General features: G+C 41.6%; 1 pseudogene; it reads right to left on the bottom strand.

Annotated features, from left to right (window-relative positions):
* RFTN1P1 (raftlin, lipid raft linker 1 pseudogene 1) overlaps nt 7,337-14,001 on the bottom strand; it is a 63,733-nt pseudogene continuing 57,068 nt past the window's right edge.

The raw sequence follows: 14,001 nt of genomic DNA on the forward strand, positions 1-14,001 counted from the left end.
TAGTCTACAGTCCCACCTACACTGAAAAGTGTTCATATTTCTCCACATCCCTTCCAGCACCTGTTGTTTCCTGACTTTTTAATGATTGCCATTCTAACTGGTGTGAGATGGTATGACATTGTGGTTTTGATTTGCATTTCTCTGATGGCCAGTGATGATGAGCATTTTTTCATGTGTCTTTTGGCTGCATAAATGTCTTCTTTTGAGAAGTGTCTATTCATACCCTTTGCCCACTTGTTGATGGGGTTGTTTGTTTTTTTCTTGTAAATTCATCTGAGTTCATTGTAGATTCTGGGTATTAGCCCTTTGTCAGATAAGTAGATTGCAACATTTTTCTCCCATTCTATAGGTTGCCTGTTCACTCTGATGGTAGTTTCTTTTGCTGTGCAGAAGCTCTTTAGTTTAATTGGATCCCATTTGTCAATTTTGGCTTTTGTTGCCATTCCTTTTTGTGTTTTAGACATGAAGTTCTTGCCCATGCCTATGTCCTGAATGGTATTGCCTAGGTTTTCTTCTAGGTTTTTTTATGGTTTCAGGTCTAACCTTTAAATCTTTAATCCATCTTGAATTAATTTTAGTATAAGGTGTAAGGAAGGAATCCAGTTTCAGCTTCCTACATATGGCTAGCCAGTTTTCCCAGCACCATTTATTAAATAGGGAATCGTTTCCCCATTTCTTGTTTTTTTCAGGTTTGTCAAAGATCAGATGCTTGCAGATATGTGGCATTATTTCTGAGGGCTCTGTTCTATTCCATTGGTCTATATCCCTTTTTTGGTACCAGTAACATGCTGTTTTGGTTACTGTAGCCTTGTAGTATAGTTTGAAGTCAGGTAGCATGACGCTTCCAGCTTTGTTCTTTTGGCTTAGGATTGACTTGGCAATGTGGGCTCTTTTTTGGTTCCATATGAACTTTAAAGTAGCTTTTTCCAATTCTGTGAAGAAAGTCATTGGTAGCTTGACGGGGATAGCATTGAATCTATAAATTACCTTGGGTAGTATGGCCATTTTCACGATATTGATTCTTCCTACCCATGAGCATGGAATGTATTTCCATTTGTTTGTATCCTCTTTTATTTCATTGAGTAGTGGTTTATAGGTCTCCTTGAAGAGGTCCTTCACATCCCTTGTAAGTGGAATCCTAGGTATTTTATTCTCTTTGAAGCAATTGTGAATGGGAGTTCACTCCTGATTTGGCTCTCTGTCTGTTATTGGTGTATAAGAATGCTTGTGATTTTTGCACGTTGATTTTGTATCCTGAGACTTCGCTGAAGTTGACTATCAGCTTAAGGAGATTTTGGGCTGAGACAATGGGGTTTTCTAGATATACAATCATGTCATCTGCAAACAGGGATAATTTGACTTCCTCTTTTCCTAATTGAATACCCTTTATTTCTTTCTCCTGCCTGATTGCCCTGGCCAGAACTTCCAACACTATGTTGAATAGGAGTGGTGAGAGAGGGCATCCCTGTCTTGTGCCAGTTTTCAAAGGTAATGCTACCAGTATTTGCCCATTCAGTATGATATTGGCTGTGGGTTTGTCATAAATAAGTCTTATTATTTTGAGATACATCCCATCAATACCTAATTTATTGAGAGTTTTTAGCATGAAGGTTGTTGAATTTCGTCAAAGGCCTTTTCTGCATCTATTGAGATAATCATGTGGTTTTTGTCTTTGGTTCTGTTTATATGCTGGATTAAATTTGTTGATTTGCATATGTTGAACTGGCCTTGCATCGCAGGGATGAAGCCCACTTGATCATGGTGGATAAGCTTTTTGATGTGCTGCTGGATTCGGTTTGCCAGTATTTTACTGAGGATTTTTGCATCGCTGTTCATCAGGGATATTGGTCTAAAATTCTCTTTTTTTTTGTTGTGTCTCTGCCAGGCTTGGGTATCAGGATGATGCTGGCCTCATAAAGTAAGTTAGGGAGGATTCCCTCTTTTTCTATTGACTGGAATAGTTTCAGAAGGAACGGTACCAGCTCCTACTTGTACCTCTGGTAGAATTTGGCTTTGCATCCATCTGGTCCTGGACTTTTTTGGTTGGTAAGCCATTAATTATTTCCTTAATTTCAGAGCCTGTTATTGGTCTATTCAGAGATTCAGGTCTAACATGTAAATCTTTAATCCATCTTGAATTAATTTTAGTATAAGGTGTAAGGAAGGGATCCAGTTTCAGAGATTCAACTTCTTCCTGGTTTAATCTTGGGAAAGTGTATGTTTCAAGGAATTTATCCATTTCTTCCAGATTTTCTAGTTATTTGCATAGAGATGTTTATAATATTCTCTGATGGTAGTTTGTATTTCTGTGGGATTGGTGGTGATATCCCCTTTATCATTTTGTATTGCATATATTTGATTTCTTCTCTCTTTTCTTCTAAATTAGTGTTACTAGCAGTCTACCAATTTTGTTGATCTTTTCAAAAAACAAACTCCTGGATTCATTGATTTTTTGAAGGGTGTTTTGTGTCTATATTTCCTTCAATTCTGCTCTGATCTTAGTTATTTCTTGCCTTCTGCTAGCTTTTGAATGTGTTTGCTCTTGCTTCTCTAGTTCTTTTAATTGTGATGTTAGGGTGTCAATTTTAGATGTTTCCTGCTTTCTCTTGTCGGCATTTAGTGCTATCAATTTCCCTGTACACACTGCTTTGAATGTGTCCCAGACATTCTGGTATGTTGTGTGTTTGTTCTCGTCGGTTTCAAAGAACATCTTTATTTCTGTATTTGTTTCGTTATGTACCCAGTAGTCATTCAGGAACAGGTTGTTCAGTTTCCATGTAGTTGAGCGGTTTTGAGTGAGTTTCTTAATCCTGAGTTCTAGTTTGATTGCACTGTCATCTGAGAGACAGTTTGTTATAATTTCTGTTCTGTTACATATTCTGAGGAGTGTTTTACTTCCAACAATGTGGTCAGTTTTGGAATAGGTGTGGTGTGGTGCTGAAAAGAATGTATATTCTGTTGATTTGGTTTGGTTAGTTCTGCAGATGTCTATTAGGTCTGCCTGGTGCAGAGCTGAGTTCAATTCCTGGATATCCTTGTTAACTTTCTGTCTTGTTGATCTGTCTAATGTTGAGAGTGGGGTGTTAAAGTCTCCCATTATTATTGTGTGGGAGTCTAAGTTTCTTCGTAGGTCTCTAAGGACTTGCTTTATGAATCTGGGTGCTCCTGTATTGTGTGCATATATATTTAGGGTAGTTAGCTCTTCTTGTTGAATTGATCCCTTTACCATTATGTAATGGCCTTCTTTGTCTCTTTTGATCTTTGTTGGCTTAAAGTCTGTTTTATCAGAGACTAGGATTGCAACCCCTGCCTTTTTTTTATTTTCCATTTTCTTGGTAGATCTTCCTCCATCCCTTTATTTTGAGCCTATGTATATCTTTGCATGTGAGATGGGTTTCCTAAAGACAGCACACTGATGGATCTTGACTTTTTATCCAATTTGCCAGTCTGTGTCTTTTAATTGGAGCATTTAGCCCCTTTACATTTAAGGTTAATATTGTTATGTGTGAATTTGATCCTGTCATTATGATATTAGCTGGTTATTTTGCTCATTAGTTGATGCGGTTTCTTCCTAGCCATGACGGTCTCTACAATTTGGCATGTATTTGCAGTGGCTGTTACTGGTTGTTCCTTTCCATGTTTAGCGCTTCCTTCAGGAGCTCTTTTAGAGCAGGTCTGGTGGTGAGAAAATCTCTCAGCATTTGCTTTTCTGTAAAGTGTTTTATTTCTCCTTCACTTATGAAGCTTAGTTTGGCTGGATATGAAATTCTGGGTTGAAAATACTTTTCTTTAAGAATGTTGTATATTGGCCCCCACTCTCTTCTGGCTTGTAGAGTTTATGCTGAGAGATCAGCTGTTAGTCTGATGGGCTTCCCTTTGTGGGTAACCTGACCTTTCTCTCTAGCTGCCCTTAATATTTTTTCCTTCATTTCAACTTTGGTGAATCTGACAACTATGTGTCTTGGAGTTGCTCTTCTCAGGAGTATCTTTGTGGCATTCTCTGTATTTCCTGAATTTGAATGTAGTCCTGCCTTGCTAGATTGGGGAAGTTCTCCTGGATAATATCCTGCAGAGTATTTTCTAACTTGGTTCCATTCTCCCTGTCACTTTCAGGTACACCAATCAGATGCAGATTTAGTCTTTTCACATAGTCCCATATTTCTTGGAGGCTTTGTTCATTTCTTTTTATTCTTTTTCCTCTAAACTTCTCTTCTTGCTTCATTTCATTCATTTGATATTCCATCACTGATACCCTTTCTTCCAGTTGATCGAATCAGCTACTGAACCTTGTGCATCTGTCAAGTAGTTCTCGTGCCATGGTTTTCAGCTCCATCAGGTCATTTAAGGACTTCTCTGCATTGGTTATTCTAGTTAGCCATTCGTCTAATCTTTTTTCAAGGTTTTTAACTTCTTTGCCATGGAGGTTTCAAACTTCCTCCTTTAGCTTAGAGTAGCTTGATCATCTGAAGCCTTCTTCTCTCAACTCATCAAAGTCATTCTCTGTCCAACTTTGTTCCATTGTTGGTGAGGAGCTGCATTCCTTTGGAGGAGGAGAGGTGCTCCGATTTTTAGGTTTTTCGGTTGTTCTACTCTTTTTTTCCCATCTTTGTGGTTTTATCTACCTTTGGTCTTTGATGATAGTGACGTACAGATGGGGTTTTGGTGTGGATGTCCCTTCTGTTAGTTTTCCTTCTAACAGTCAGGACCCGCAGCTGCAGGTCTGTTGGAGTTTGTCGTAGGTCCATTCCAAACCCTGTTTACCTGGGTATCAGCAGTGTAGGCTGGAGAACAGTGGATGTTGGTGAACAGCAAATGTTGCTGCCTGATCGTTCCTCTGGAAGTTTTGTCTCAGAGGAGTACCCAGCCATGTGAGGTGTCAGTCTGCCCCCACTGGGGGTGCCTCCCAGTTAGGCTACTTGGGGTCAGGGAACCACTTGAGGAGGCAGTCTGTCTGTTCTCAGATCTCAAGCTGTGTGCTGGAAGAACCAATACTTTCTTCAAAGCTGTCAGGCAGGGACATTTAAGTCTGCAGAGGTTTCTGCTGTCTTTTGTTTGGCTATGCCCTGCCCCCAGAGGTGGAGTCTACAGAGGGAGACAGGCCTTCTTGAGCTGTGGTGGGCTCCACCCAGTTTGAGCTTCCCAGCCACTTTGTTTACCTACTCAAGCCTCAGCAATGGCAGGCGCCCCTCCCCACTGCCTCACTGCCACCTTGCAGTTCGATCTCAGACTGCTGTGCTAGCAATGACTGAGGCTCCGTGGGTGTAGCACCCTCCAAGCCGTGCATGGGATATAATCTCCTGGTGTGCCATTTACTAAGACTGTCAGAAAAGTGCAGTATTAGGGTGGGAGTGACCCAATTTTCCAGGTGCCGTCCATCACCCCTTTCCTTGGCTAGGAAAGGGAATTCCCCAACCCCTTGCACTTCCTGGGTGAGGTGATGCCTCACCCTGCTTCAGCTCAGGCTGGGTTCACTGCACCCACTGTCCTGCACCCACTGTCTGACAATCCCCAGTGAGATGCACCCAGTACCTCAGTTGGAAATGCAGAAATCATTCGTCTTCTGCATCACTCATGCTGGGAGCTGTAGACTGGATCTGTTGCTATTCTTCCATCTTGGCTCCACCCCAAGAAATTACTTTTCAATGTCCAAATAGCTTCTCCCTTGTGTGTACAAGAGACTAGGCCAAAAAGTCCATTGTGGAGAAAAGAAAGAGAGATCAGACTGTTACTGTGTCTATGTAGAAAGAAGTAGACATAAGAGACTCCATTTTGTTCTGTACTAAGAAAAATTCTTCTGCCTTGACATGCTGTTAATCTGTAACCCTAGTCCCAACCCTGTGCTTGCAGAGACATGTGCTGTGTTAACTCAAGATTTAATGGATTTAGGGCTGTGCAGGATGCGCTTTGTTAAAAAAGTGCTTGAAGGCAGTATGCTTGTTAAAAGTCATTGGCATTCTCTAATCTCAAGTAACCAGGGACACAATACACTGCGGAAGGCCACAGGGACCTCTCCCTAGGAAAGTCAGGTATTGTCCAAGGCTTCTCCCCATGTGACAGCCTGAGATATGGCCTCATGGGAAGGGAAAGACCTGACCATCCCCTAGCCCGACACCTGTAAAGGCTCTGTGCTGAGGAGCGTTAGTAAAAGAGGAAGGCTTCTTTGCAGTTGAGACAAGAGGAAGGCATCTGTCTCCTGCTCATCCCTTGGAATAAAATGTCTCAGTGTAAAACCTGATTGTATGTTCTGTTTACTGAGGTAGGAGAAAACCACCTTAGTGATGGAGGTGAGACATGCTGGCAGCAATACTGCTCTTTATTGCACTGAGATGTTTGTGTGTGTGCACATCAAGGCACAGCACATTTCCTCAAACTTATTTATGACACAGAGACCTTTGTTCACATGTTTTCCTTCTGACCCTGTCCCCACTATTACCCTATTGTCCTGCCAGATCCCCCTTTCCGAGATGGTAGAGACAGTGATCAATAAATACTGAGGGAACTCAGAGACCAGTGCCTGTGCGGGTCCTCCTTATGCTGAGCACCGGTCCCCTGGACCCACTTTTCTTTCTTTATACTTTGTCTCTGTCTCTTATTTCTTTTCTCAGTCTCTCGACCCACCTGACAAGAAACACCCACAGGTTGTGGAGGTGCTAGCCCCCTTCAGTCCATGCTTCCATAGTTAGAAAACTGCCCTTCAGGTATAAACTAGTGAATCTTAGAAGTAAATTAGCTCCTCCAAAGCCCAGCAGAACATGGTTTGAGAAATTCCCCTGCCCACAGCAATTTGGTGGCATCATGAGTCAACATTTCTCAAATACATTCTTCAGCACTTAACGTGCAATCTTGGACCAGGGAGCTAACCTCTCTGTGCCTCATTTTCCTCATCTAAAAAACAGAGGCAGTAAGAATATTTACTTAAAAGCCTTACTGTGAAGATTAAGTGAGCTCATGTGCATAAGTCTGAAGATAGCTGGCAGAGAGAGCCACAGGGTCTGGCTCCGATAACGATGCTGCTCTGATTATTACAGAGGCCATAAATTATGTGGCCTCATTTATATCACTTAGAACTGTCAGTTATATGCAAATTAATGAAAGACAACTCTCCTTCCACCAAATGGCTAGGTACGTGCAAGGTGTTTTTCCCACAGAAAGGGAAGAGGAGGGCCAACCCCTATGCGGGGCTGGGAAAAGAGGAGAATAAAAGGACTAAGGGAGTTTAGGACCTACCAGGTCAACTCCGTCTCAGAAGAAAGCCACAACTGAGCAACAACCCGAAGGTCAGATTGAGGAGGGGGATACAACAATTGTCTAAACAAAAGCAGGGCTGCCAACCCCACACTTAGTTCCAGGACTGTCCATTGTTCAACCAAATAGCATTGAAGCCCTGTATGCTTTTGCTATCTTCTGTGGAAACAGCTTCAAGATGGCTTACGAGCTGTCAAGCCATGTAAGAAATCTGTGGAAAAAGAAAAAGGCCAGGGTGGGGTTTGTAAACCATCTGTGGCAGAAGTCTTCTAAGCAGCAAACATTTCCACTGTATTCATTAATAATGCCAATCAGAACATCTTTTCTGCATGTTAATTAAAGAAGGCACACACAGCCATAGAACCTATCTAGCCCTATCAGAATGAATGAGGCTAATTTTTCTCACAGTTTTGAATAATATCCTTGAGTTCGTGAGCTCAAATTTCATTGTTAGCCATCACCATTTGATTTCAAGTGTTTATCTTCCTTTTAATGCTGCAGTGTCGGGATGCATTGGTGAGAACTTATCCAGGGTAAAACACAGTCATTTAGAGACAGTTTTTAGAAGAAACTATTTAGGTGACAATTTTTTTTTTAATTAAAGGGAAGAGACACAACACACCAGATCTGAGCTTGTCAGATGCATTCTAGATGTGTTAATTCTTGGAAGTTCTCATGATGAGGGCACTGTCCAGACAACATTTTAGGTAGCTCTTTTCAAGAGGTGGAATCTGGGGAAGGGTGGATTTTCCCAAATCTTTTACCACTGGAAATGCTTCCCTGGGCATTGCTCTAGTCAATGGTCCCAAGCTTTGTACAATTTGAGAAGTATACATGAAATGTATAGCATGATCAAGAACTGTCTTAGGAAATGAGGGTAAAAAGAAATATAGAACAGGCCAGGCTCAGTGGCTCATGCCTGTAATCCCAGCAGTTTGGGAGGCCGAGGCAGGTGGATTACTTGAGTTCAGGAATTTGAGACCAGCCTGGGCAAAACAGTGAAACCCTGTCTCTACTAAAATATAAAAAAATAGCCAGGCATGTCCAGGTGTGCCTGTTATTCCAGCTATTTGGGAGCCTGAGGCAGGAGAATTGCTTGAACTGGGTTGGCGGAGGTTGCAGTGAGCAGAGATTGCACCACTGTACTTCAGCCTGGGTGACAGAGCGAGACTCTGTCTCAAAAAAAAAAAAAAGAAAAAGAAAAGAAAAAGGAAAGAAAGAAATACAGAACAGAGTCCCTGCCCCTGCAGAATACACTAAGGATAGCACCTTTTGCCCCTTTGTTTGGTGCATGGCTCCTAAAGGTCCAGGTTCACTTTGGTAAGGGATTTGGGGAAAGAAGACTGGCTTAGAAGCAAGTGGTTTGGGGCTAGGCTTTACCATGAAAGGTGATGTGACTCTTTCAAGGGCTTGGTCTCTCATCTGTAAAATGGGATGATGGACAGACAATGTCTCTTGGTTCCCAGATTCTATGCTATAAACAATGCTCAATCATAACATTATGGACTCAATTGTGTCCTTCCAAAATTCATATGGTAAAGCCCTAACCCCCAATGTGACTATATTTGGAGACAGAACCTTTAGGAAGGTAATTAAGGTTAAATGAAGTCCTAGTTCTCCTTTAAATTAGTGTGGGATGGGGCCTTAGTCTAATAGGACTGGTGTCCTTATTATAAGAGGAAGAGAAATCAGAGCCCTCTCTCTCCCTCTCCTGGAGTGTGTAAAGATGAAAAGCCACATGAGGAAACAGCAGGAATGTGGCTGTCTGCAAGCCAGGAAGAGAGCCCTAGCCGGAAACTGAAGTTGCCAGAACATTGACTATGGACGTCTAGCCTCCAGAACTGAGAGAAAATAAATGTCTGTTGTTTAAGCCACCCAGTGTGTGGTATTTTGTTATGACAGTCCTAGCAAACTAACACACATACAAAGCACATTTCAATGACATGCTTTTCTAAAGGGACAATTTTCAATAGAACAAATCCATAATAATGTGACCTTTTTTTTTTTTTTTCCACAGAGAGGGAAGTGAGACAAATTCAGAAAGTCTTCTGAATCATGTTGGAGTTCCTGGAACTGCCAGTATCTAGAAGTCATAAAGAAAAAGACTGACAAATGTGAACATATAACAATTTTTCGCTTTTGTCTCCCAAAAGACTCCATAAGCAAAAGGTCATCAACATGAGAAAATTATTTGCAACAACAATAACAAAAATAAAGGCCAAGCTTAATATATTTATATATGAAAAGTTTTACACATAGTTAAAAATACTAAAACACCATTAGAAACAAAGGACTTAAACTAGGAATTAATTATTTCTCTTTCTCTTTCCATGGCCAACAAACATTGAAAAAAAATTGCCATCTTTTTTTTTATTTGTTTGTTAGAGATGGGGATCTCACTCTGTTTCTTAGATTGTAGTGCCATGGCACAATAATGGCTCACTGCAGCCTCAAACTCCTGGGCTCAAGTGATCACCCCCATACAGACTCCCGAGTAGCTGGGAACACAGGCACATGCCACCACCCCTAGCTAATTTTTTATTATTTGTAGAGATGGGGGTCACTATGTTGCTCAGGCTAGTCTTGGACTGCTGGACTCAAGTGATCCTTGGTCTCCCAGTGTGCTGGGATTACAGCCATGAGCCACTGCTCCAGTCCTCAACTTCTTTTTTATTTAGCAAGTTGACAAATTTTGAAAACAAAATTGTCACTGCTGGTAAAGGTACAGTGATATGGGAAAGTTTACAGTGCTTAAGGGAATTTTAACTGTACAAACTTTCTAGAAAGCAATTTAACAATCTTGCAGTAGCTTGCCACAAAAAGTCTACCCTCTTTCACCCAGAAAACTTACCTTTCTTTTCTGTCCTGAGGTAATAACCTCCAATGCTATCAAATATCCATCTACAAGCCTTACTTATAAAATTGCTTAAAAACTTAATGTTCAACAATCCAAATATTTAACCACAGAAAAACAGTTAAATTTAGAGATTTCTGTACAATTAATACCAGGCTGCCCCTAAAAATATCATGGGAATTTAGTGATTCAGAAAAATACTTTTGATATAATATTATGGAGAAAAAAACTATGATATGAAACTGCCATATGAGCTCAATATAGATTTTTATGTTAAAACGGTTTAGACAAACCTTAAGGAAATACACAAAATACTAGCAGCAGTTATAAGTGGTGGAATTACACACAATTTGAGTTTTCTTTTATATCCTTTTCTGTGATGTTATTAACAAGTTAGAATGGGTGTAACAGAAGTAAATGGACAACACAGATGACAAAGAATTTCCTTTTTTCTCTCCTCTCCAAGGTTCTTGAAGGCATAACTAGAATCAAATAGTTTTTTAAAACTATGGGGAGACAATTTTAGTATAATCTTAATGGAAAAACTTTCCTTAGAGGAGTCTAAAAATGTAAGATAGGGCCTCAGAAGCATGAGTGACATGTTACTGGAGTTCAAGTTTACTCTGAATAAACTTCCAGCCGTTCATTATGATACCTGCTGGGAACCTATTATGTACCAAGTACTCTTGTAAGTCACTAGAGGCCTCACAAGCAGTAAGACAAAGTCCCCACCACCCATTAAGCTTACCTTGCAGTGGAGGAGGAAGAAAGTAACATAATGTCAGATGTGATAAATGCTATAAAATGCCAAGTGGGCCAAGGGGAGAGTGTGAAGGTGGACACAGTGGTGGTAGCTATTTTTGAAAGATGCATCAGTGTAGGGCTCCCCAATTTCAGTGAACTAAGCAAGCAAGGGATACGGATCTGAGGTTTGAGAGTTCCAGGAGGAAGGGACAGACAGCCTGACATGCATAGTGAATGAGGGACAGACAAGGATCAGGTGAGCAGCAGAATCAGGAAAGAAGGTGATTAAGACTAAACTGAGTATTGGGGAGGTCAGCGACTTAGGGCTCTGTTCATCTGACTTGTTTGGCCAATGGGATATTATCAGGTGTAATGCAAACAGAGGCCTAAAAAGCATGTGTGTGGTTGAGCTTGGCCTCTTTTGACTTTGCTATTATGTTGAGAGGGCATGCCCCAGCTAGCCAGTTGGTTCTAGAGGGATGAAAGACAAATGGATCAGAGCTGCCCCAGTGGAGCCCAGCTGAGACCAGGTCTGCCTCAACAGAGCTGCTCCAGCCAACCCCCAAATCTGCCAGAATAAATTGTTACCTTTGTAAGCCAATCAGTTCTGAAGTGGTTTGTTACTCAGCATTATTGGAGCAATAGCTGATAGACACAATGCTCAACCTAGACCTAAAAAACAAGACCACTGTAATTTGCTTAGCCTGGGTCCTTATTGAGAATAACAGTGTGGCCTAACCAGTTCAACAAACCATGATTGTAAGAGTAACAAGCACAGGAGCCTTATCCTAATATTATCCGAATGTAAGATAATTCTACATTTCAAGTAAGATAACTATGGGTAAACCAATAACATGCTCCAGTTTCTTGTTTACTATACTGACAGTCTGTTATCAAATAGCCTTGGCAGGTTCTAAGTTTGCTTCTCTCATCTGTTTTGCCGAAAAATTTGTCCCAAGTGCTTATTCCATGGCCTCCTAAAAAGACATATTTCATAGGTGATCAGGGAAAAACAGCTGCTGTACAGCTAAATCACGTCAAAAGTATTTTGGGGTTGAAGGCAAGCATGAACCACAATCCAGCTCACTTTTTAACTTCTGAGTAATATTCCAGGAGTCCATCTGGAGCCCCATCACAGTAGGGATGCCGTAAGAGACCTTTTTGAGTATAGCCCTCCCAAATCCTGACCTAAGCATGCTTGAGACCAGAAGACACTCAATGAGCCCCTCAGGGTTATATCAAGATGGCACACATTTCCTCAAGACTTCTACCAAAATATGTTACATCAAATTTCCAAAGCCTCTACCTACATATATTCTCAGTGGAAAACCTCCAGGCCCTTTAAATGTGCCTGCCATGTGCTTTAAGTACTTATGGGCCTAATTCAACACAAATTATATGGTGATGTTTAGCCTGACCATGGTGAGCATGGCAGAACTGAGGTCCAGAAGAGGGAAGGGGACACTCACAGCCCATCCAGACTTCTTCTCTTTCCCCTGACAGGCTTCCTTTCTTTCCCCCTGAGTCACAGGCCTGGGAAGCAGGTTGTGCAGTCAGCAGGAAAAGCTATGGCTAGCTTGGGGGTATGAAGAAGGAACACACAGAGATCCTTATTTTCCACCCACCTCAACCACTGCCTGCCTCCCAGCCTCCCCACCTCAGCATAATGCTCCAGTATTCTGAATCCCATCCAGACTTTTTCTCCATTCCCTGCTGAGCTTCCTCTCCTTCCTCCTAAGTCACAGGCCTGGGAGAGGGGCTGTGTAGTCAGCAGGGAAAGCTACAGCTAGCTTGGTGGTATGAAGGAGGAACACACACGGATCGTTATTCACCACCCACCTCATCCACTGCCTGCTTCCCAGCCTCCCCACCTCAGCATAATGTGCCAGTATTCTGAATCCAGAGCACTGATTCACCTACTTAACCATGAGGCTGAAGTTCAGAATGGCTGTCAAAATCTGGTCACCTAACAGCAAAAAAATCAATGAACTACAGAGAGCAGATAGCTAGGCTTTTAAAGATTCACTTGTTTTGATGGCCTTGTCACTGCTTGTCTCCTCATTACCTTCATGGCTCAGCCTCACTGTAATGTGCACTGACTTGGGCATAAATAGGTCTATCTTAGAGTTAATGCTCTGATGTAAAAAGGGTAAACCACCCTCCATCTATGGAAAACATTCCATTATCACAGCATTTTTTATGAAAGCCAAGATGCTTCCCTACTGTCCACAAAAAGCTATTTGCCTTCATACTGTATAAATATTTGATGCTGGCCTTTTGGCAAAAGGCCACCTAAATATTCCAAGCTTATGATTTACAAGAAGGATGTGGGAAAGGAGATTTGTCATAGTATTTCAAGAGGTAAATTCTATGAGGCAACCATTCTTCTCCTGCGGACTCTGAGATACTAAGACTGTCTATCAAGCAAACCTTCAGGCTCAGCCCTAGGCTGCTGTGCTTCGCCAAAGTCTAGCCTGAATGTGCATGCCATGACAAGCGGTCAATGCATTTGGTCTATTTTTGCAGGGTTAAAAACAAAATATTACTGTTGTCCTTTAAACAAACTAGACTGGACTAGATTGACTACGCTGGAATAGCTGGCCTAACAGATGCTCTTGGCTCTCTGAGAGTGCCTTCTCTCCATCAGAGGCTGCACAGTCCTCTTGGCACCACCTTGATTCCAAGATTGGCACTGGCCAAGTGCATAAGTGCAATTGCACATGTGGTCAATGGCATGTGATCCCACGGCAAATATAATCACTGTTCAACCAATTCCAGATAAAGGTGCCATGTTGCTCCACAATCACACTGAAGCTAATTTGCTCTATTTACCAAAGAATAAGCAAGGCTGCTGCCGTTTCTTGTTTCTTGAACACTCTCTGCTGCTCTAGGCCTGGCTACCGTCCTACATTCTTAGTTTGATGCAATGAGTCATCTAGAAAAGCTATTACTCCTCTTTAGCTAGAAAAAGATTAGCTTGCAAGTTGCAGTGCCAATTAAATGAACAGATAGGGAAGAAACATTCTGATTCATTGGTTGATGGATGTGAGGCACTCTGCCAGGTGCAGTTCAAGGCTTTTCATTGAATCCTCCCCCAAATTCTGTAAGAGTCATCATTCCCTTTTAGTGGATAGACATCTGAGTTACATGATTTGTCC

Source organism: Homo sapiens, chromosome Y (genome assembly GCF_000001405.40).
Source record: "Homo sapiens chromosome Y, GRCh38.p14 Primary Assembly".
Taxonomy (NCBI): Eukaryota; Metazoa; Chordata; class Mammalia; order Primates; family Hominidae; genus Homo; species Homo sapiens.